Consider the following 23,900-nt stretch of genomic DNA (forward strand, 5'->3'; position numbering starts at 1 on the left):
ATTATAACAAACTGTCTCTCAGACAACAGTGCAATCAAACTAGAACTCAGGATTAAGAAACTCACTCAAAACCACTCAACTACATGGAAACTGAACAACCTGCTCCTGAATGACTACTGGGTACATGATGAAATGAAGGCAGAAATAAAGATGTTCTTTGAAACCAATGAGAACAAAGACACAACATACCAGAATCTCTGGGACACATTCAAAGCAGTGTGTAGAGGGAAATTTATAGCACTAAGTGCCCACAACAGAAAGCAGGAAGGATCTAAAATTGACACCCTAACATCACAATTAAAAGAACTAGAGAAGCAAGAGCAAACACATTCAAAAGCTAGCAGAAGGCAAGAAATAACTAAGATCAGAGCAGAACTGAAGGAGATAGAGACACAAAAAACCCTTCAAAAAACCAATGAATCCAGAAGGTGGTTTTTTGAAAAGATCAACAAAAATGATAGACCACTAGCAAGACTAGTAAAGAAGAAAAGAGAGAAGAATCAAATAGATGCAATAAAAAAGATAAAGGGGATATCACCACTGATCCCACAGAAATACAAACTACCATCAGAGAATACTATAAACACCTCTACGCAAAAACTAGAAAATCTAGAAGAAATGGATAAATTCCTTGACACATACACCCTCCCAGGACTAAACTAGGAAGAAGTTGAATCTCCGAATAGACCAATAACAGGCTCTGAAATTGTGGCAATAATAGCTTACCAACCAAAAAAAGTCCAGGACCAGATGGATTCACAGCTGAATCCTACCAGAGGTACAAGGAGGAGCAGGTGCCATTCCTTCTGAAACTATTCCAATCAACAGAAAAAGAGGGAATCCTCCCTAACTCATTTTATGAAGCCAGCATAATCCTGATACCAAAGCCTGGCAGAGACACAACAAAAAAAGAGAATTTTAGACCAATATCCTTGATGAACATTGATGAAAAAATCCTCAATAAAATACTGGCAAACTGAATCCAGCAGCACATCAAAAAGCTTATCCACCATGATCAAGTGGGCTTCATCCCTGAGATGCAAGGCTGGTGCAACATATGAAAATCAATAATTGTAATTCAGCAGATAAACTGAACCAAAGACAAAAACCACATGACTACCTCAATACATGCAGAAAAGGCCTTTGACAAAATTCAGCAACACTTCATGCTAAAAACTCTCAATAAATTAGGTATTGATGGGACATATCTCAAAATAATAAGAGCTATCTATGACAAACCCACAGCCAATATCATACTGAATGGGCAAAAACTGGAAGCATTCCCTTTGAAAACTGGCACAAGACAGGGATGCCCTCTCTCACCACTCCTATTCAACATAGTGTTGGGAAGTTCTGGCCAGGGCAATTAGGCAGAAGGAAATAAAGGGCATTCAATTAGGAAAATAGGAAGTCAAATTGTCCCTGTTTGCAGATGACATGATTGTATATCTAGAAAACCCCACTGTCTCAGCCCAAAATCTCCTTAAGATGATAGGCAACTTCAGCAAAGTCTCAGGATACAAAATCAATGTGCAAAAATCACAAGCATTCTTGTACACCAATAACAGACAAACAGAGAGCCAAATCATGAGTGAACTCCCATTCATAATTGCTTCAAAGAGAATGAAATACCTAGGAGTCCAACTTACAAGGGACATGAAGGACCTCTTCAAGGAGAACTACAAACCACTGCTGAATGAAATAAAAGAGGATACAAGCAAATGGAAGAACATTCCATGCTCATGGGTAGGAAGAATCAGTATCATGAAAATGGCCATTCTGCCCAAGGTAATTTATAGATTCAATGCCATCCCCATCAAGCTACCAATGACTTTCTTCACAGAATTGGAAAAAACCACCTTAAAGTTCATATGGAACCAAAAAAGAGCCCGCATTGCGAAGTCAATCCTAAGCCAAAAGAACAAAGCTGGAGGCATCACACTACCTGACTTCAAACTATACTACAAGGCTACAGTAACCAAAACAGTGTGGTACTGGTACCAAAACAGAGATATAGACCAATGGAACAGAACAGAGCCCTCAGAAATAATGCTGCATATCTACAACTATCTGATCTTTGACAAACCTGAGAAAAACAAGCAATGGGGAAAGGATTCCCTATTTAATAAATGGTGCTGGGAAAACTGGCTAGCCATATGTAGAAAGCTGAAACTGGATCCCTTCCTTACACCTTATACCAAAATTAATTCAAGATGGATTAAAGACTTAAATGTTAGACCTAAAACCATAAAAACCCTAGAAGAAAACCTAGGCAATACCATTCAGGACATAGGCACGGGCAAGGACTTCATGTCCAAAACACCAAAAGCAATGGCAACAAAAGCCAAAATTGACAAATGGGATGTAATTAAACTAAAGAGCTTCTGCACAGCAAAAGAAACTACCATCAGAGTGAACAGGCAGCCTACAGAATCGGAGAAAATTTTTGCAACCTACTCATCTGACAAAGGGCTAATATCCAGAATCTACAATGAACTCAAACAAATTTACAAGAAAAAAACAAACAACTTCATCAAAAAGTGGGCAAAGGATATGAACAGACACTTCTCAAAAGAAGACATTTATGCAGCCAAAAGACACATGAAAAAATGCTCATCATCACTGGCCCTTAGAGAAATGCAAATCAAAACCACAATGAGATACCATCTCACACCAGTTAGAATGGCGATCATTAAAAAGTCAGGAAACAACAGGTGCTGGAGAGGATGTGGAGAAATAGGAACACTTTTACACTGTGTGTGGGACTGTAGACTAGTTCAACCATTGTGGAAGTCAGTGTGGCGATTCCTCAGGGATCTAAAACTAGAAATGCCATTTGACCCAGCCATGCCATTACTGGGTATATACCCAAAGGATTATAAATCATGCTGCTATAAAGACACATGTACACGAATGTTTATTGTGGCACTATTCACAATAGCAAAGACTTGGAACCAAGCCAAATGTCCAACAATGATAGACTGAATTAAGAAAATGTGGCACATATACACCATGGAATACTATGCAGCCATAAAAAATGATGAGTTCATGTCCTTTGTAGGGACATGGATGAAGCTGGAAACCATCACTCTCAGCAAACTATTGCAAGGACAAAAAACCAAACACCACATGTTCTCACTCATAGGTGGGAATTGAACAATGAGAACACATGGACACAGGAAGGGGAACATCACACACCGGGGACAGTTGTGGGGTGGGGGGAGGGGGGAGGGATAGCATTAGGAGATATACCTAACGCTAAATGACGAGTTAATGGGTGCAGCACACCAGCATGGCACATGTATACATACGTAACAAACCTGTACGTTGTGCACATGTACCCTAAAACTTAAAGTATAATAATAATAAAATTTAAAAAAAACATTAAACATATTTAAATTCATTAAATATGAATTAAACATGCATATAACTTTGGAGAGTATTGACATTTTCACTATTTAGTTTTTCAATTCATGAGCATGATCTGTCTCCTCTTTTATTTGAAATTTTTTTGGTTTATTTCATCAGTGTTTTTTAGTTCATTGATTTCTGCTGTTATCTATATTATTTCTCTGTTTCTGTTTGCTCTGGGTTGTTTTGCTCTTCATTTTTTACATTTGGGAGTTTAAATTGTTTACAGTTTTCTTGTTTTCTAAATTAAGTATTTAGTTCTATAAATTTTCTTCTCAGCACTGTTTTAGCTGTGATATACAAATTTTGATGTGCTGTGTTTTCATTTTTATTTAATGTTTTAAAAAAATTCCCTTGAGACTTCCTCTTTGACCCATGAATTATTTGAAGCAAGTTGGTTAGTCTCCAAGTGTTTGGAGATTTTCCTGTTATCCTTCTGTTATTGATTTTTAGTTTTATTCCATTGTGGCCAGAAAATAAACTATGTATTGTTTCAATTATCTTAAAATTGTTAAAGCTTGTTTTATCTTCCACAGTGTGATGTATCTTGGTATATATTCCATAGGTGCTTAAAAAGAATGTGTATTCTACTGTTAATGGGTGTTCTACACATGTCAATTAGATCTTATTAACTGATTGTTGCTGAATTCTTCTGTATCTCTGCTGATTTTTGGTCTAGTGTTCTATTAAATGCTGACAGAGGAAGTGTTGAAGTTTCCAGCTATAATTGTAGATTTGTCTGTTTCTTCTTTCATCTCTATCAGTTTCTTGCTCACGTATTGCAGCTACGTTGTTTGGTGGATGCACAATTAGAATTGCTATGTCTTCTTTGTGGGCTGACTCTTTTATTATTATGTAACATTCTTCTTTGTCTCTGGTAATTTTCTTTGCCCTGAAGGCTACTTTATCAGATATTAATATCTGATAAGTACTCTATCAGATATTAATAGAATTGAAGAAGCTACTTCTGCTTCTTTTGATAAATGTTTTCATAATATCTTTTTCCATCCTTTTAATTTCAACCTACTTAGATTGCTATGTTTGAAGTTTTTTCTAGAGAGCATATAATTGGGTCATAATTTTTCATTTTAAATTTTAAGATGATAATAATATATATATTTGTGGAGTATGTGATATTTTGATACATACAGATAATGTGTAATAATACAACTAGGATAATTGACATATTCATTATCTCAAATACTATTTTTTTTTTTTTTGAGGTGGAGTTTCACTCTTGTTGCCCAGGCTGGAGTGCAATGGTGTGATCTTGGCTCACAGTAACCTCCGCCTCCTGGGTCCAAGCCATTCTCCTGCCTCAGCCTCCCGAGTAGCTGAGATTACAGGCATGAACCACCAGGCCCGGCTAATTTTGTATTTTTGGTAGAGATAGGGTTTCTCCATGTTGGTCAGGCTGGTCTCGAACTCCTGACCTCAGGTGATCTGCCTGCCTCGGCCTCCCAAAGTGCTGGGATTACAGGTGTGAGTCACTGCACTCAGCCTCAAATAATATTTCTTTGTGTGAAAACATTAAAAATTCTCTTCTAGCTATTCTGAATTATAAATTATTGTTAACTGTAGTCACCCTGCTGTGCTACAGAACACTAGAACTTTTCCTCCTAACTGCTATTTTGAACCCATTAATCAAGCCCTCCCTACACCTACTTATCCCCCTACACTTTCCAGCTTCTTATAACTACTCTTTCACTCTATACTTCTATGAGATCAACCCCTTTTGGCTCCCACATATGTTAGAACACGTGGTATTTGTCTTTCTGTGCCTAGTTTATTTCACTTTACATAATGTCCTTCAGGCTCATCCATGTTACCACAAATGACAAGATTTCATTCTTTCTTATGGTTGGATAATATTCCATTGTGTATACATACCACATTTTATTTGTTTGTTGTTCTATTGATGGGCAACTAAACATGGAGGGCCAGATATGTTTTTGATATACTGATATCCTCTCCTTTGGATATATGCCCAGTGGTAGAATTGCTGGATGATATGGTATTTATATTTTTGGTTGCTTGAGTAACTTCCATACTGTTTTCCATAATGGTTGTACTAGTTTACATTCCCATTAGTGGTGTATAAGACTTCTGCTTTCTCTTCATCACCAGCACTTGTAAACTTTTATGTTTTCATAATAGTCATTTTAACTGGGATGCTATGATATCTCATTGTGGTGTTGATTCACATTTCCATGATAGTTAGTGATGTTGGGCATTTTTTCATATATTTGTTGTCATTTGTATGTCTTCTTTGAGAAATATCTATTCATATCATTTGTCTGTTTTAAAATTGGATTATTTATCTTTTTGTTGTTGAGTTATTTGAGTTCCTTATACATTCTGGATATTAATCCCTTGTTGGATGGATAGTTTGTAAATATTTTCTCTCATCCTGTAGGTTGTCTCTTCACTTTGTTGTTTCCTTTGCCATGAAGAAGCATTTTAGTTTCACATAACCCCATTTGTCTATTTTTGCTTTTGATGCCTGTGCTTTTGAGATCTCATCTAGAAAGTCTTGGCCTAGACCAATGTCCTGAAGCATTTTCCTTATATTTTCTTCTTATAGTTTCATAGTTTGGGGTCCTACATTTAAGTCTTTAATCACATCAAGTTGATTTTTGTAATGGTGAGAAATAGGGATCTAGTTTCATTCTTCTGTTTATGAATATCCAGTTTACCCAGCCCCACTTATTGAAGAAACTGTCCTTTCTCCATTGTATGTTCTTGGTGCCTTTTTCAAAAATCATTTGCCTGTAAATATGTAAATTTATTTCTGGGTTCTCTATTCTGTTCAGTTGGGCTATGTATCTGTTTTTATACCAGTACCATGCTGTTTTGGTTACTATAGCTTTGTAGTATATTTTGTGTGTGGTGCCTACAGCTTTGTTCTTTTTGCTCAAAATCCTTTGTCTATTTGGGGTCTCTTCTGATTTCATATAAATTTTAGGATTGTTTTTTCTATTTCTGTGAAGAATATTATTGTTATTTTGACAGGGATTGCATTAAATACGTAGTTTTCTTTGGGTAGTATGGACATTTTAACAATATTAATTCTTCCAATCCATGACCATAGGATGGCTTTCAATTTCTGGCGTCCTCTTCAATTTCTTTCATCAGTGACTTATAGTTTTCACTAAACAGATCTTTCACCTCTTCGGTTAAATTTATACTTAGGTAATTTTTTTGCACCTGTTGTAAATGGGATTGCTTTCTTGATTTTTTTTTCAGATGGTTTGCAATTGGTGTATAGAAATGCTACTGACTTTTGTGTGTTGATTTTCTATTCTGCAGCTTTACTGAATTTGTTTATTCGGTCAAACAGATTTTGGTGGAGTCTTTAGGTTTTTCTAAACATAAGATTATGTTGTCTGCAAACAGGGACAAGTTGACTTCCTCATTTTCAATTTGAATACCCTTAATTTATTTCTCTTGCCTAATTGCTCTGAGTGGGAGTTTCAGTACTATATTAAACAGAAGTGGCAAAAGTGGGCATTCTGGTCTTCTTCCAGATCTTAGAGGAAAGGCTTTCAACATTTCCTCTTTCAGTATGATGTTAGCTGTGAGTTTGCCATTTGTGACTTTTATTGTTTTGAGGTACATTTGTTCTATGCTTAATTTGTTCAGTTTTTATCAAGATGTTGAATTTTATTAAATGTTTTTCCTGTGTCTATTGAGAAGATCATATGATTATTGTCCTTCATTCTGTTGATATGATCTATCACATTTATTGACTTATGTATGTTAAACCATCCTTCCATCTCTGGAATAAATCCTACTTGATCATGGTGTATAATCTTTTTGATGTGCTGTTGGATTTGATTTGCTAGTATTTTTTTTAGAACATTTGTGTCTATGTTCATCAGTGATATTGGCCTGTAGCTACCTTTGTTTGTCCTTTTCTGGTTTTGAGATCAGGGTAATGCTGGCCTCATAGAGTGTGCTTAGAAGAATTCCCTTCCCTTCATTTTTTGGAAAAGTTTGAGAAGAATTAATATTAATTCTAAAAGTTTGGTGGAATTCAGCAGTGAACTATCCAGTCCTGAACTTTTCTTTGTTGGGAGTCTTTTTATTACTGATTCAATCTCATAACTTGTTATTAGTCTGTTCACATTGTATGCATACAGGAATTTGTCCTTTTCTTCTATGTTTTCCAATTTTTTGCATATAGTTGTTCATAAGTCTCTAACAATCATTTGTATTTCTGTGGTATTGATTGTAAAGTCTCCTTTATAGTCTCTGATCTTATTTATTTAGGTCCACTTTTTTATCTTAGCCTACCTAAAGGTTTGTCAATCTTGCTTATCATTTAAGAAAACCAACTTTCATTTCACTGATCCTTTGGGGTTTTTTTAGCCTCTATTTTGTTTAGTTCTACTTTAATCTTTATTATATTTTCTCCTATTTATTTTGAGTTTGGTTTGTTCTTACTTTTTTCATTTCTTGAGCTGCATTGTTAGGTTGCTTATTTTCAATGCTTTTTTGATGTAGGCATTCATTGCTATGACTTCCCTCTTACGATTGCTTTTGCTATATCCCATAGGTCTTGGTATGCTATGTTTTCATTTTTATTTGTTTCAATAAATTATTTAACTTTCCTTCCTAATTTATTGCCCATTGGTTGTTCAGGAACATGCTGTTAAACTTCCATGTGTTCATATAGTTTCCAAAATTCCTTTTGTTACATATTTTTAGTTTATTCTACCCTGGTCAGAAAGGATACTTGATACAATTGATTTTTAAAAATTTGTTGAGACTTGCTCTGTGGCCTAACATATGTTCTATTCTGGAGAATGTTCCATGTGCTAATTAGTAGAATGTGTATTCTGCAGCTGTTGGATTAAATGTTCAGTAAATGTTGGTTAGGTCCATTTGGTCTAGAATGCAATTTAACTCTGATGCTTCTTTGTTGGTTTTCTGTCTGGATGATCTGTTGATTGCTGAAAGTGTGGGTGCTAAAGTCCCCTACTAATATTGTATTGCAATCTATCTCTCCCTTTAGATCTATTACTATTTGTTTTATATATTTGATGCTTCAGTGTTGGGTGCATATATATTTACAATTGTTGTATACTTTTGCTGAATCGACCCATTTATGATTATTATATAAATACCTTCTTTGTCTCTTTCTACAGTTTTTGACTTAAAGTCTATTTTATCTGATATAAATATAATTACTGCTATTCTCTTTTGGTTTCCGTTTGCATGAGGTATCTTTTTCCATCCCTTTAGTTTCAGTCTATGTGTGTCCTTCAGGTGAGGTGAGTCTCTTTTTGGCAGCATATACTTGGGTCTTGTTCTTTAATCATTCAGATGTGTTATCATTTTTAATCCACCCTGCCAATTTCTGTCTTTCAGTTCCTGTTTTGCAGGCCACTCACGTTTAATGTAATTATTGATATGTTAGAGTTTAAGTCTGCCATTTTTTGTTTTGTTTGTTCTGTTTTTCATTTCTCTTTTTTTAAAATGCCTTCCTGTGGATTAGTTGACATTTTAAAAATAACATGATGATTTATCTTTGTTTTAAAAGTAAATTTTTGTATAGATTTTGAGTGGTTTCCTGAAGTTTTACATTACATATACATAACTTATTACAATCATTGTAACAGTTCTAGTGGAATATGGAAACCCTACCCCCTTTACCTCCACATTTATAATAAAATTGTCTTAATGTAAAATAATTGTCTTAAATATTTCCCATACAAACATTTAGAACTGCATTGAATAGTATTAGAATTTTTGCTTTTCTGTCAAGCATAATTCACAAATCCAAGAGGAGAAGGAACATTTACCCATATTTTTACTCTTGCAGTTGTTCTTTCTTTTTTCTTCATGTTTGGAAACCTCTCTTATCATTTCCTTTCTGTTAAGAGAATTTCCTCTACTTATTATTTCAGGGTAGGTCTTTTTGGTGACAAAATTCTCTTAATGCTGGCTTCCTATGAAAATGACATGATGTCCTATCCATTCCTGGAAGAGTATTTTTGCGGATATATAAATCTATATTGGTATTTTTTTTTCCTCCAGCACTTGGAATATTTGGGGCCACATCCTTACATCCTCCATGGATTCTGATGAGAATTTACAGTCATTTAAATGGTTTTTACTCTGTAGGTAAGATGGTGTTTCTTTCTTGCAGCTTCTACAATTTTTTTATCTTAGTTTTCAGAAGTTTTATGTGTCTTGGATTTCTTTGGGTTTATTCTCTGTGAGATTCTCTTAATTTTTGAAACTGTAGGCATATGTCTTATGCCAAATTAGAAAGTTATCAATCATAATTTTTGGGACTATTTTTAAGTCTTGTTGTATTGTCTTGTCCTTCTGGGACTCTGATGACACAAACAGATCTTTTGTTATAGTCTCACAGGTTCCTGAAGTTCATTTGTTTTAAGCTTATTTTTTCTCCATTGTCCAGATTAAGTAACTTACATTGTTCTACTCTTAAGTTTGCTGATTCTTTCCTCTGTGCCCGCTAGTTTGCTATTAAGCCCATCTGTTGAAATTTTTGTTGTTTGAAAATTTCAGTTATTGTATTTTCCAGTTCCAGAAGTTCCATTTGGTTCTTCTTTGTATTTCTTTTCTGAGACTTTTCTATTTCTTCACTGTGACTTTTCATTTTACATTAAAAAAATTGTTTATCAACATTTGTAATTGCTCTTTGAAGCATTTTTATTATGACTGCTTTAAAATCCTTGTGAGATAATTCTAATACCTCTGTCATATTCATATCTCTATCTATTGATTGTCTTTCTTCATTACAGTTGAGATTTTCTCAGTTCTTAGTATGCTGAATAATATTTTATTGAAACAAGGTCATTTTTGGTATTATGATTCTGAACTTTATTTAAACCTTCTGTTTTAGCTGTGTGTGTGTGTGTGTGTGTGTGTGTGTGTGTGATGCCACTTCAGCAGAGGTACAAAGGGACTGTCTTCTTAGTGCAAGGTTGGGTAGGCATCAAGATTTCCCACTTAGCCTCTGTTGTCACCTGAGGAAGTAAAGTCCCCTTATGACTGCTCCTGGCTCCTCACCAGGCCTCTGCTGATACCACCCTGGTAGGAGGAACAGGAGTGCTTCACTACTGCTCCCCATGTGCCCTCCACTGACATTGTGGGAGAGTGACCTCTTTGCTGCTGAGTGATGGTGAATGTCCTGATTCTCCTCTAGGCCTTCTCTGATACCACTCTAGTGGAAAGGAGTAGAGGTGCTTCATTACAAGGTTTTCTTTGACATCATGGCAGGGAAGAAGGAAGGTGTCACTGGCAGGAGTTCTGGCTTCCTACTCAGTCTTCTCTGACTTTACTTCTGCAAGGGTGTTGAGGTGTCTTGTTACTTCCTGGTAAACATCTAGAGTCCCCACTCAGTCTTTCCTAGCAAGAGTGGAGTTGGGGTCTCTGTTTTTACTGTGATGTTTGGCTAGAGTAGAACAGTTATTGTCTTAAAGTATTCTGTCTTGGTAGGCTGGCTGTCCCTTTTGTGATATCTTGGTTAGAAAATGGGGCTTTTGTTTAGAATTTTTTAATTTTTTGGGGGCTGTGTCTATTGATTATTGATGTTTCCATGCTGCTGGTTTCTTCAGCTACAAGTCCAGGCTAAATGAGACAAAGAGAAAACCCAGGGAACTCACTGCCTTTTGAGACCCAAGGTCTCCAGCTGGTTTGTCTTCTTATCTTCACCTTATGCTTATTTTACATTCAGTTTTTATTTGACTTAATTGGGGAAATAATGAAAAGTATCTATTCTTTTTTCCTGGAAGTGAAAGTCTCCTGATTTGTTCTAAAATAAATATCTGCTTTGCCAAATGGAAGGGTCACTTAAATGCAGATGGTGAAACTAAATTGGAAAACAAAACCAAGTTGAATAAAAACTTAGCTATAAGATGATTTTGTAAACTTAAATGCTATGTCTCTAATTTCTCTAATTTTAACATGCAATGAAGGACTTACTTTTTATTTTATAATCTTTTTTTCTGAGTTCTGATGGCTAAATTTAAAAGGGCAGTTTTTAGTGCTGAGATATAAATTGCATCCTGGGATTTAAGTAGTTCAGCTACATCCTGATTCTGGTGCTAGTCTTTCATTTGAATATTTCTTCCTCAAACCAGTATGTACTGATGGTCTATTTTGTGCTCAGCTGTATGGTAGGTTCTTGAGATTCAACTTTGAGATGGCCAGATAGTCACTGCTCTTCTGGACCTAAAAGTCTAGCACCGTGTACTTCTGAGCTCTGCCAACAACTTCCTGTGACATCCTAAATAAATATCTCTCTCTTTTTTTTTTTAATTTTTGCTTTCGGTTTAAAATCTTTAAAATGAGGTGGATGGATTAAACTAGAATCTGTTTTGGGTTATTAAATCCATTGAGCGTATGATTAAAGCCATGTTCTTCAGAAAAATGTTGCATGCCTGTCCAAATATATAACATGTACACATAGTGTTACATAAAATTCTGCAGGATTCACAGTGAATCATTAGGTTAGAAACTTCTCTATTATTTGTTGTCCAAGAGACCTTTGAATTATATCGTTTTATGTTTTTAAATATTATACAAATTTCTTGAGACCAGAAAGCAATCATAAGAAAACTTGCTGGAATTCAGGAGTTGTTCTAAACAATTTATATGAATTTTCTCACTTTATCCTCATAGCAAATTTTATTAAGCAGATATAATAAGTGAATAAACTGTAAAGGAACATTAAAGAGAAGATCTTTTCTCTTATATACTTAAATGAGTCTAAAGGGATATATTGTGCCTTATAAATTCAAAATTAACAAAATTCTAAAGTTGAAATTTCCTACAGGGGTGATATAAAAATAGGAATTGAGGGAGACTAAAGTAGGTAAGGGGATATTAGTCATTTGTAAAGGAGAAGATATAAATATTTATCAGCTTGAAGCATTGTAAGAAAAAATAAATAAAAGTGTGAGTCCTAAAAAGTTTGAGGCTTACTAGTGGGAAAACAGAAATAGAATTAGTAACTTTAAAAATAAACTGCTCATGAAAAATAAGAAATGATCTTTAAAATAAAAATTTTAAATGATACATTCAAGAATCATAATGTTAAATGGCAGAAATGTGCCTCAATTAATTCAATATTATAAATAATATGAATAAAATGAACATACTTAACAGAAGACAGGGATTCTCAAATTAAATTAAAACAAAAATCAAAACATCACCCAGCTATATAATTTGGAAAAAGATACACTTCAAATAAAAGGACAGAGAATTGAGAAAAATAAAGGATAGAAGAAGATATGCCACACAAATATGAATCAAAAGAGCATTTCAGATATGCAAGATTTTAAAAATCACAGGGAATGAAGAGAGACGCTGCATTTAAATTTAAAAAATAATCTACAAGCATTCACAATTTTGAGAGCAAAATGCACAAAGCAATGGATGACAGAAACAAGAGAGAGAAGTAAAAAGTTATTGGAGATTTTAAATCATTGCTCTCAGAAACTGACATACTATATCCAATCAACATAAACTGAAATGGAGAAGATGACAATAAAATAATTACCAAATTATACACACAAATTTATATAGAACTTTGCACCCAAACACAGAATATACATTTTTGTTCTAGAATAAATTTATCAGTCACAGAAACAGATCATATGCTACAGACCAAAGTCTCAGTATATTCCTATTGTCTGAATTCTAGACAATATTCTCTAACTTCAATGTAATACAATTTAAAATTAATAGAGTTGACTGAAAAAAAGATTAGTGTGTCTGAAATCTAAGAAAAAGCAAAACAAAACAAAATCTACTACCAGGTAGACCGTGGGTAAAATAGAAAACAAAAGGAGGAATTGCAGCAGACTTCTTGCTTAATGACAATGAAAGCCATTTATGTCAGCATTTGTGGGATGTAGCTAACACAGTTCTCAGAGGACAGTTTATAGCTTTGAATATATTCTCAAAATAAAGATTGAAAATTAATAAGCTAAGTGGTTATTTAAAGATGGTAGAAAAAGGAAAATAGAGCAAGCCTCCCCAAATAAGAAATATGGCAATATGAAGAGGCATAAATCGATAAAATGGAGATGAGTATAACAATAAACAAATACAGATCTTAACACACAAAAGTCAGACTTTTTAGATGACTACTAAATAACCCTCTCTGGTAACAGTTTTTTTCAAAAAACAGGGAAAAAGGGAGATGAAATAAAGAATACGGAATAAATATAGGGACAAGTTAAATAATATCAGTCATATTCTAATATATTTGCAAACCTAGAAAAAACAATGTTTATAAAAAATGTTAAAATGTACATAAACTTGTATTATTTAAAGAAATTAAAGTGATAATCAATTCGCTCCTACTCCAAAATGACACGCATAGAGGGTTTTAGAGATGAGGTAAGGAATATGCAGTTGTTATACATGTTGTCCCAAAAAGTCAAAAATGACGAAGTCTGGACAGATTATTTTGTGAGGCTAGTATAATTCTTTTTTTTTTTTTTTTTTTGAGATGGAGTCTCACTCTGTTGCCCAGGCTGGAGTGCAGTGGGACAATCTCAGCTCACTGACACCTCTGCCTCCCAGCTTCTAGCAATTCTCCTGCCTCAGCCTCCCGAGTAGCTGAGATTACACATGCACACCGTCACGCCCGGCTAATTTTTTGTATTTTAGTAGAGATGGGGTTTTGCCGTGTTGCCCAGACTGGTCTCAAACTCTTGAGCTCAGATAATCCACCTGCCTTGGCTTCCCAAGGTGCTAGGATTACAGGGGTGAGCCACCGCGCCTGGCTGAGGCTAGTATAATTCTAACAGCCAAGTCACACGAAACAAGTACATGACAAAAATAATAGCACAAGTCAGCTTCTAAACTTAATTTTTTAAATCTTCAATAAAATACATCCTATTTATTTCTGAAAGTATATTAAAATGACCATGACTCAAGGATGGCTTAAAATAAGAAAACCCAGCAATATAACTTCTTTTTAATAGACTAATAAAGTTTAAGGTTGCAATAGTAATAGAGAAAGCATGCAGTAAATTTCAACATGGAGAGATGAGGATGGTTAATGGGTACAAAAAATATTAATAGTTAGAAAGAATGTATAAGGTCTAGTATTTGACAGCACAACAGAGTGACTATGGTCAATAATAATTTAATTATACATTTAAAAATAGCCAAAAGAGTATAATTGGATTGTTTGTAACACAAAGGATAAATACTTGAGGGGATGGATGAACCATTTTATACGATGTGATTATTTCACATTGCATACCTGTATCAAAACATCTCATGTTCCCCATAAAAATATACACCTACTATATACCCATACAAGTTAAAATTAAAAATTAAAAAATTAAAAAAGCCAAAAATAAGTTCAACATCCATTTCTGGAAAAAAAAACTTTAGAAAACTAGACTATAAAGGAATTTCCGTAATCTGATAAAGTTTATCTATCAAAATTCATTGAAAACATCATTTTAATGAATACGCTTTACAAGATTTTAGAACTATTTTTTTTCAGGTCAGGACAAAGAAAAGAATTATCACCATAACAACCATTATTCAAAACATCTGGGGCTGCACGGTGGCTCATGCCTGTAATCCCAGCAGTTTGGGAGGTCAACATGGGTGAATCACTTGAGGTCAGAAGTTTGGGACCAGCCCAGCCAATGTGGTGAGACCCCGTCTCTACTAAAAATATAAAAATTAGCTGTTAGTGGTGGCACACACCTGTAATCCCAGCTACTAGGGAGGCTGAAGCAGGAGAATTGCCTGAACCAGGAAGGCTAACGTTGCAGTGAGATGAGATCATGCCAATGCACTTCAGCCTGGGTGACAAAGTCAGTGAGACTCTGTCTCAAAACAAAAACAAAAACAAAAACAAAAAAAAAATTTGGAAAACAATAAGAGAATAAAAATCAATAACACTACTAATGTGCACCTACTAAAGCAAATTTCTATTCAAAAGTATAAGATAATTTGAATTGTCAAATTTTCTACCTTGTGGCTGGGTCCGGTGGCTCACGCCTATAATCCCAGCACTTTGGGAGGCTGAGGCTGGCAGATCACCTGAGTCAGGAGTTCAAGCCCAGTCTGACCAACATGGTGAAACTTCGCCTCTACTAAAAAAAAATACAAAAATACTTAGCCAGGTGTAGTAGTGGCACCTGTAATCCCAACTACTTGGGAGGCTGAGGCAGGACAATAGCTTGAACCCAGGAGATGGGGGTTGCAGTTAGCTAAGATCATGCCACTGCACTGCAGCCTGGGCAACAGAGTGAGACTCCGTCTCAAAAAAAGAGAGAAAAAAAAATTCTACCTTGAATTATCAATTAAACTGGGATTATCTCTTAGCTAACTTAATAAAGACTACACAGGATCTTTATGAAAAATGTTAAATTTTATTCTAGGACATAAAAGGAGGCCTACATAAGGATCATGCCCAGGGTTGGGGTAATTCAACATTAGAATGTTATCAATATTTCTCAAACTAAGTTGAAAATTAATGCAATTCCAATTAAATTTCAAGGTTTTTTTTAAAAAATAGATTCTAAAATATGTATGGATAAATAAAGGTCTGTAGATATTAAATAATATTTTGAAAGAGAAGAGCACGAAGATTCTTCCTGCCAGGTATTAAGAAATATTAAAAAGCAGTAGTAATTAGGATAGTATGGCAATAAAATAGGGGCAGGACTGAAGACAAAGGTAGCAGATCAGAATACTCATGTGGACTCCCGGGTGCCTCCAGGAACTTGGCATATTACAAAAATGGCATCACGAATCAATGAGAGAAAGAACTGATTATTTGGTAAATAACCTCACTCTATGGCAAATTAAAATTTAATTGCTACTTCCCTTCAAATAAAAAATAAACTCTATATGCAATAAGAATCAAATGTGAAAGTTAAAAGTATAGAATTAATGAAGAAAGTGTAAATAATATCTTTATGACTTTGGAATAGGAAAGGATTTCTTAATCAAGACTCCAAAACATAAACTCTAAAGAGAAAAACCAATGACTTAGCTCGGGCATCAAAATTAAACATTGATTCTCAAAGGTGACCAAGTTAACAGGCAGGGGACACACAGCCACTCCAAGAGGTGAGTACTACCCTTACTCCCACTTTACAGATGAGGACAATGAGGTTAATTAACTTGTCCAAAGTCCCACAGCTAGTTAAGTATAGGGCTGAGATTGGAACCCCGATAACCCGGCTGAATCCAGTCTGTGCCCTTAACTACAGTTACACAGCCTTCTAGGATTTTTCTTGCTGATGTCAAAGGAAGAGAGAATGTCAGGGAAGAAAGGGTCAATGATGTCAGAATACTGCAAAGACAGCAAGGAGAGGCTACTGAATTGAATACTCCAGTGATTTCTGAAAACATCATTTCAGGGAGGGGCAAAGGTGAAGGCTATAATGGGGTTGTAGGGAAATGACCAGCCAGTGGGAAAACTCAACCTTGTAAACTCTAACTCTAGAAAGTTTGAAAAGGAATCATCTTTCTTCTTAATATGAGCCACTGTAGTGTTTTGGGGTTTGCATTGTAATAGTATATTTTAAAAATTTTTTGGATAATGCTATTGATTGTGAACAATACAACGCTTATAAAATTCATGATCCTTACTCTCTAGAACAGATTCTCCACAAATTCAGGGTGTCTGGCGAGTTATGGCCAAAGCCATTCTCAATAAATTAGTTTTCAAACTAGCATCTCCAACTAATATTTTCCACAATGTGCAACCCCCATTCTTCTTTGCAGTAAGGCGTTGGAATGAAACCATACTCTGTTTGTTCTCTAGCTCACATTATGACCTGCTATAAAAAGAATTAATATTCATAAATCTTTTTTACTGCACTAATCTCAGTGTTTTAAAGTGGTGATTACCACCTGACATGGGGGCAGGCCAAAGACTAAAGGAATCTTCAGAGAGCACAAGACCCTATTCCCTCATGAGTGTTCAAAGAGGAAAGTGATGGAAGGATTCACATGTTGAACCTGGGCATAAACATGAACATTTTGAGGAGGCTTTCTATAAGTTTTCTAGATACCTTGGGGTAAAAGTGTCCTGAAATTTTTTTGGTAATGTCTGGGAACACAAGCAGCAGTATTAAGCATGGGTTATGTAACATGGAACACACCACATGGCTAACCTTTCTGAAATTGTCCAGATGGGTCCTACAGTTTGAAAAGCTTAGAAATGTCGCCCGTGATATCCATGTTCTCTGTAATTAAAGCTTCCTCAGGCTCTGACAGCTGAGCAGTAGATTGGTTTTGACTATCCATAGCCAAAGCTACTAAAAGAGCCCACTGGCTTCATAATCCTAGCCGAGGAGAGGTAGACCTTGTCCAACAGGAAACTGAACATGCTGGAAACCAGAATAAAATGGCACATAAAAGCAGGGCAACTGGGGAGAGAATCATTACAGGCTTTGCATATGATTCTACTGGGTTAGTGCAAATGTGATTGCAGTTTTTGCAATTACTTTTAATGGCAAAAACTGCAATTATGTTTGCACCAATCTAATAATTAGAAGAATAAAAAAGTAGGATGGTGCATGTTGTTGAAGATCCTTGTTTTCAAGTTCAAGGTCCAGGGTTATCAAGAGTGGGGATGTCAACCAGGAGGAGGGCTCATTCATTCAATAAATATTTATTGAATTTCTATTATGTCAGAGAGCACCAGGCAAGGCACTGGGGGATGTAACGGTGAGCATAGCAGAGCTTAAAATTGAGTGGACAAGATGGATAAAGAGTGAGAAGAAAGAAAGTGCAATCTGAGATAAATGCTTTTAAGAAAAGCAATAGCTTTAGAGAACTAGTGAAGGAAGCTAATCATGTCTTGGGCATCAGGAAAATTCTAAAGAATTTGAAGGAGTTCAGAAGATGAGTGGGATCGAGAAGCCATTCCAGGCAGAGGAACAAAAATGTGCAAAGGCCCTCTGGTGGGAGGGCACAAAGAACTGGGAGGGAAAGGGAGTTCTCTCTGGGGTCAAAGAGGGGAAGGAGTTGATGAGTAGTGAGAGGAGGAGAAAACAAGGTGAGCATCTATATTTGCTCGGATCCCTCAACTTACCACAGCTTGAATTCTTCCACATCGCTTTTCTGACACTGCTGCCACCCAGTTTATCAGTGACCTCCACAATGCTTACCTTGGTAGGAGCAGTTCGGTTCTTATCTCACATGACTGTATGGCTTGGTGGAATCAGACAATGCTGCTCACTGTCAACTCCTGAGACTCCCTTCTCCCACTTCCTAGACTGAGCCTTCTTGGATTCCTTTCAAGGAATGTCTCAGCCCAACCCTTAGTTGTTGACCTTCTCCTGTGTCCTGTTTAATAGATTCTCTTTGTCTTTATGTACTCCACTGTGTCCACTGGAGACAGTGGGACAACCCCACTCTGTCCCACAGTTGTTCACATCCATGGGCTAATGTCTTGGTTTGAATTATTCCCCAAATAGGCCCTGATCAGGAAGTGAAGACAACATGACTGTGGAGAAGAGAGCCGGGAAGGGAAGAAGCTCAATAATGAGTGCATTCTAGGCCAGCTTCCCCAGTGAGTGAGTAGAGTTAATCCTGCTGAGGATCTCTGGGAGGGGGTGGAGAACACACCCTTCGGAGTGATCCTGCCTGAGGGGTGAGGGAGCCGGGGTATTTAAACACAACTACCAACCATTAAACATCACTGGTTAGGATGTGCTCCTGGAATATGTTAATTCCAGCAAGAGGAAAGCATCAGGCACAGCAATACAGATGTTGGCTATTGGGAGTTGAGTCTATGTGTCTTGAGTGATGAGGATGGGAAAGTATGGGTTGAGCTGAACAAATTCACTCCAGCCCTTTCAACCAAATGTTTTAAACATGGCATTGCCAGGAACACTCACACAGATAAAAGGACATTGGAGGAAGCAGCGTGAGAGCATGCTGCAAACTGCAAGCTGCAAGCACCAACTGGCTATCGTCACTCATGAAGATCAGATGGTTAATTCAGTTGACAGAAACGCAAGATCATGTCCCGCCCCACTCTCACCTGCTTCCTGACTTTCTATTGCAGTGAATAGTCCCATCCTCTCACAGTTGTCTAGATCAAAACTCTCAGTGACGTCCTTGACTCCTCCCTGTAACTTGCCTCTCACATCTATTCAGTTGCCAGATTCAATCAACTGTAGTTCTTGAACACTTTTGAAATCCATCCACTTCTTTTCATCCCCGTCCACCACCCTGGTGAGACTGCACTCATCTCTCACTTGGACCTCAACAGCTGACTCCTCTTCTCCCATCCCCATTGCTCTGTTTCCAAAAGTGAGCCTCAATCCATTCTCCGCTTGGTAGCCAAAACTACCTTTTAAAGTTCAAACATGATCAGATTTGTTCCTTGCTCAAACCCCTTCAAAGTCTGCATCCCTGCCTTTCCAGAACCCACTTTCCCTCCCTGGAACCCACCTCCCTTGTATGAGGAGTCTGCATGACCTGGCCTGTCTTAACTTCCTGGGACACACATCTCATTTTCTTCTTTGTGAATTCATGCTCCAACCAAAGGGAATTCCTGGATGGGCTCCTTCCTTCTGTCCTCTGGACCGGGTTTATGCAATTCCCTCTGCCTGGAATGGTCTTTTTTCCCCCTGGCCTCTCTGAATCTGGGTAATCCTACTCACCTGGTCAAAACTCACAAGGGACATCACTTCCTTCAGGAGGATTTCACTGATCCCAAGTTCTGGGCAAGGTGTCCCTTGTCCCTTTCACAAGTCTATTGAGTGTGGACTCTGATGAACAAAAGGGGCCATGAGATTCTCCCTAGGGAGCTCATTTCCTGATGCTCAAGACCTCTAGTGTCCTCAACCCAGAGACAGGTCTGTGGCACATACTTGAGAGTGAGAGAGCCAGCTGAGGGTAGGGTCAGCTCTGAGACGTTCTCAAAGCAGGGAGGAGGCCTGGGGTGCTGATTGAGGAGCTACAGATTCCTCTCCAGGAAAGGGAAGAAGGTGTTGTGATGGTTAATATTAGGTGTTAACCTGATTGGATTGAAGGATGCAAAGTATTGTTTCTGGGTGTGTCTGTGACAGTGTTGCCAGAGGAGATTGACATTTGACTCAGTGGACTGGGAGAGGAAGACCCACCCTCAGTGTGGGTGGGCACCATCCATTTGGCTGCCAGTGTGGCTAGAAAAAGCAGGCAGAAGAGAATGGAATAAGCTGGGTTGCAGAGTTTTCTGGCTTTTATCTTTCTTCGGTGCTAGATGCTTCCTGCCCATGAATATCAGACTCCAGATTCTTGGGCCTTTGGACTCTTGGACTTACACCAGTGGTCTGCCAGGGGCTCTCAGGCCTTTGGTCACAGAATGGAGGCTGCACCATTGGCTTCCCTACTTTTAAGGCTTTGGGACTTGGATTGAGCCACTACTGGCTTCCTTGCTCCTCAGCTTGCAGACGGCCTATTGTGGGACTTCATCTTGTGATCGTGTGAGTCAATTCTCCTTAATAAACTCCCTTTCTATCCTATCATTTCTGTCCCTCCAAAGAACCCTGACTAACACAGGGGCCCATCACAGTTGTGCCTCTATGGTCCCTGCAATAGTTCTACGTCAGGTGGCAGAGCTTCTGCAACCTGGAGCTTCTTTCCAGAATGCATTTCCTTGACAGACAGCGATGCACCTACTCTGACAGGGATGGGACAGGGCCAGGAGTGTTAGAAAAAAGAGTCAGGACAGAGCTGAGGGAAGCAGCAGTACCTGAGCCCTCTTTGCCAGAGAGACCCAAAAATGGCCATTCCCTCTGCAGTATCAGAGCAGAGGCTGGAGTGGGAGAAGCCGTGTAGTCAGGAGAGTAATAGCCCCAACCCCGCTCAGCACATTCTCCAAAAAAGATGTCTTTTCAACAAAATGTTTTAAACACTGCATTCCCAGGAGCATCAAGGTTGATGGAAGAACATGAGGGGAAGTGGCATGAGAGCAAGCCCGTGCTCTCCTCTACAGAGACAGAAGCCAGACATGCCTTTTCCATGTGCTGATCTCCAAGTCCCAGCTAGTAGGTCACATGACATCACAGTCCTGCTCTTCCTCAATGGTAAGTCCTCACTTGCTTCATTTTGGTAGATCTTCAATTTAGAGCTTCACCAAGCTGGCTTTCCTGGGCTACAGACTCAAAGAGCCTTCTGCCTAATGACAGTTTTATTTGCCCGTCTTGTAGATTTCAAATAGAAAAGATCCTACATTGGGCTTGTCTTCCAACACTAAGCCTGCTTCTCCTCTGCTTTGCCATTCCAGTGAATGTCTCCACCATCTACCCATTTGCCCAAGTGGGAAACCTGGCCAGGGATCCTGAGTGCCTCCTGTCTGTCTCACCTCCCCGTATCCAACTGTCCCCAAATAACTTCCAAACCACCCACTTGACGCTCTGCCTCTCCCCTCTTCCTGTGTTGAGAACACCACCTCCCCTCACCTGGAAGATTCCAATCACCTCTGTTCCCAGCCTGGCCTCTCTGTGGTGCCTGTGGCTCCCCCATCTCCAGGCTAGTCACCACCAGAGATCTGGAGGGGTCTTGGGTATGTGAACCTTCAGAGAGAAAGAGGGGGATGAGGGTGGAGAGAGAGGGAGAAAAAGAGTGAGAGTGCATTATTACTGCTACCCTCAGGGTGTCTCCGGGGACTGGGAAAAGCCTTGAGTGGCTGTTGACAAATGGTAGCAGGCCCACTCAGGAGGCTGGTTTTCAGAGGAGAGGTCATCATCACATGATGTTTAGTGAAGATGAGCTCTAAGAAGGAAAGCCTCAAGAGAACTGGGGAAACTGGTGTTTTGAATGCTCTAGAGCCTTGCTTTTCTATTATTCCAGAAGCCTCTAAAAAAAATAGCATACTAACCATGAACAACAACACTAATAAGCTGTGGCAGAGAAGGTCAGTGCCGTACCCGGATTTCTTAGGGCCTGTTATCTCTGCTGATCATTTTCTTGCACTCTGTTCCCACTGTGCATTCACTCCAAGCAACCTGAACCTGAATGTCTTTATAGGTGAGCCTGCTGGAGCCTACCTTGCCTGAATGCACTAAGAGCCAAGGTGTCTGGGAGTTTATATCCTCCAGGGACAGCCCTTAACAAGCCACCTCCCTCTGAGCTGGGTCTGCATTGTTTCCAGAGCTCCCTGGGGGATTCAGCCAAAGTCATTTTTGGTGTAACTTTCTTAATATCTTTGATTCCCTTCCTTCTGGCTTCCCTTTCTCTGGCTTTTCCTGGGATCACCTCCCAATAAATCTCTTTCCCACGAATCCTGGCCTCAGGTTCTGCTTCTGGAGAACTCAGCTCTGGGCACCAGGCACAGACTAAGCACTTTCTATTTTTTTAAAAAAAAGTCTTTTTATTTTTAGACTTTTTAAATTTCAATGGCTTTGGGGTATAAGTGGTTTTTTATTACATGGAAGAATTATATAGTGGCGAATGCTGAGATTTTAGGGCACTTGTCACCCAAGTGGTGTATGTTGTACCAAATATGTAGTTTTTTTAATCCCACATCCTCCTCCCACCATCCCCCTCCTGAGTCTCCAAAGTCCATTATATCACTATGTATGCTGTTACATATTCATAGCTTAGTTCCCACTTATAAGTAAGAACATACTGTGTTTGGTTTTCCATCCTTGAATAATATACTTCACTTAGAATAACGGCCTCCAGCTCTATCCAAGTTGCCACAAAAGACATTATCTTGTTCCTTTTTATGGCTGAGTAGTATTCCCTGGGGTATATATACCACATTGTTTTTATCCACTCATTGGTCAATGGGCACTTAGGTTGATTCCATATCTTTGCAATTGTGAATTGTACTGCTATAAACATGCTTGTGCCGGTGTCTTTTTCATATAATGACTTCTTTCCCCTTGGGTAGATACCCAGTAGTGGGATTGCTGGATTGAATAGTAGATCTACTTTTAATTCTTTAAGGAATAGCCTTACTACTTTTCATAGGGGTTGTACTAATTCACATTGCCACCAGCAGTACTTAAGTGTTTCGCTTTCACCATATCCATGCTAACATCTATTGTTTTTTGACTTTTTAGTGATAGCCATTCTTGGAAGACTGACGTGGTGTCTCATTGTGGTTTTAATTTGAGTTTCCCTGATGATTAGTGATGTTGAGCATTTTTTCATATACTTGTTGGCTATTTGTATATTTTCTTTTGAGAAATGTCTATTTATGTCATTTGCCCACTTTTTGATGGGATTGTTTCTTTCTTGCTGATTTGCTTCAATTCCTTGTAGATGCTGGATACTAGTCTTTTGTTAGATGCATAGTTTGCAAATATTTTCTCCCATTCTGTGGGTTGTCTGTTTACTCATGATTATTTCTTTTGCTGTGCAAAAGCTTTTTAATTTAATCAGGTCCCATTTATTTATTTTTGTTTCTGTTGCATTGGCTTTTGGGGTCTTAGTCATGAATTCTTGAATTCTTTGCTTGGGCCAATGTCAGAAGCATTTTTCCAAGGTTGTATTCTAGAATTTTTATGGTTTTTGGG

The 23,900-nt window shown here is 37.7% G+C and overlaps 2 long non-coding RNA genes across 12 annotated transcripts in view; one reads left to right on the plus strand and one right to left on the minus strand.

Annotated features, from left to right (window-relative positions):
- Positions 1-23,900, minus strand: part of LOC124906243 (uncharacterized) — a 207,146-nt gene that overhangs the window by 68,091 nt on the left and 115,155 nt on the right. The window lies entirely within an intron of this gene.
- LINC02030 (long intergenic non-protein coding RNA 2030) overlaps positions 14,957-23,900 on the plus strand; it is a 74,093-nt gene continuing 65,149 nt past the window's right edge. For 4 of the 11 annotated variants that reach the window (NR_183748.1, NR_183749.1, NR_183744.1 and 1 more), the window contains exons 1-2: positions 14,957-15,070; positions 18,861-18,955. This is a non-coding gene — a long non-coding RNA (long intergenic non-protein coding RNA 2030). Of the gene's footprint in view, positions 15,071-16,361; positions 16,501-18,860; positions 18,960-21,301; positions 21,462-23,900 lie in introns of all 11 variants that reach the window. The other 7 variants (NR_183741.1, NR_183745.1, NR_183750.1 and 4 more) reach the window with 4 other exon arrangements.

The sequence above is a fragment of the Homo sapiens genome, chromosome 3 (assembly GCF_000001405.40).
Source record: "Homo sapiens chromosome 3, GRCh38.p14 Primary Assembly".
Classification (NCBI taxonomy): domain Eukaryota; kingdom Metazoa; phylum Chordata; class Mammalia; order Primates; family Hominidae; genus Homo; species Homo sapiens.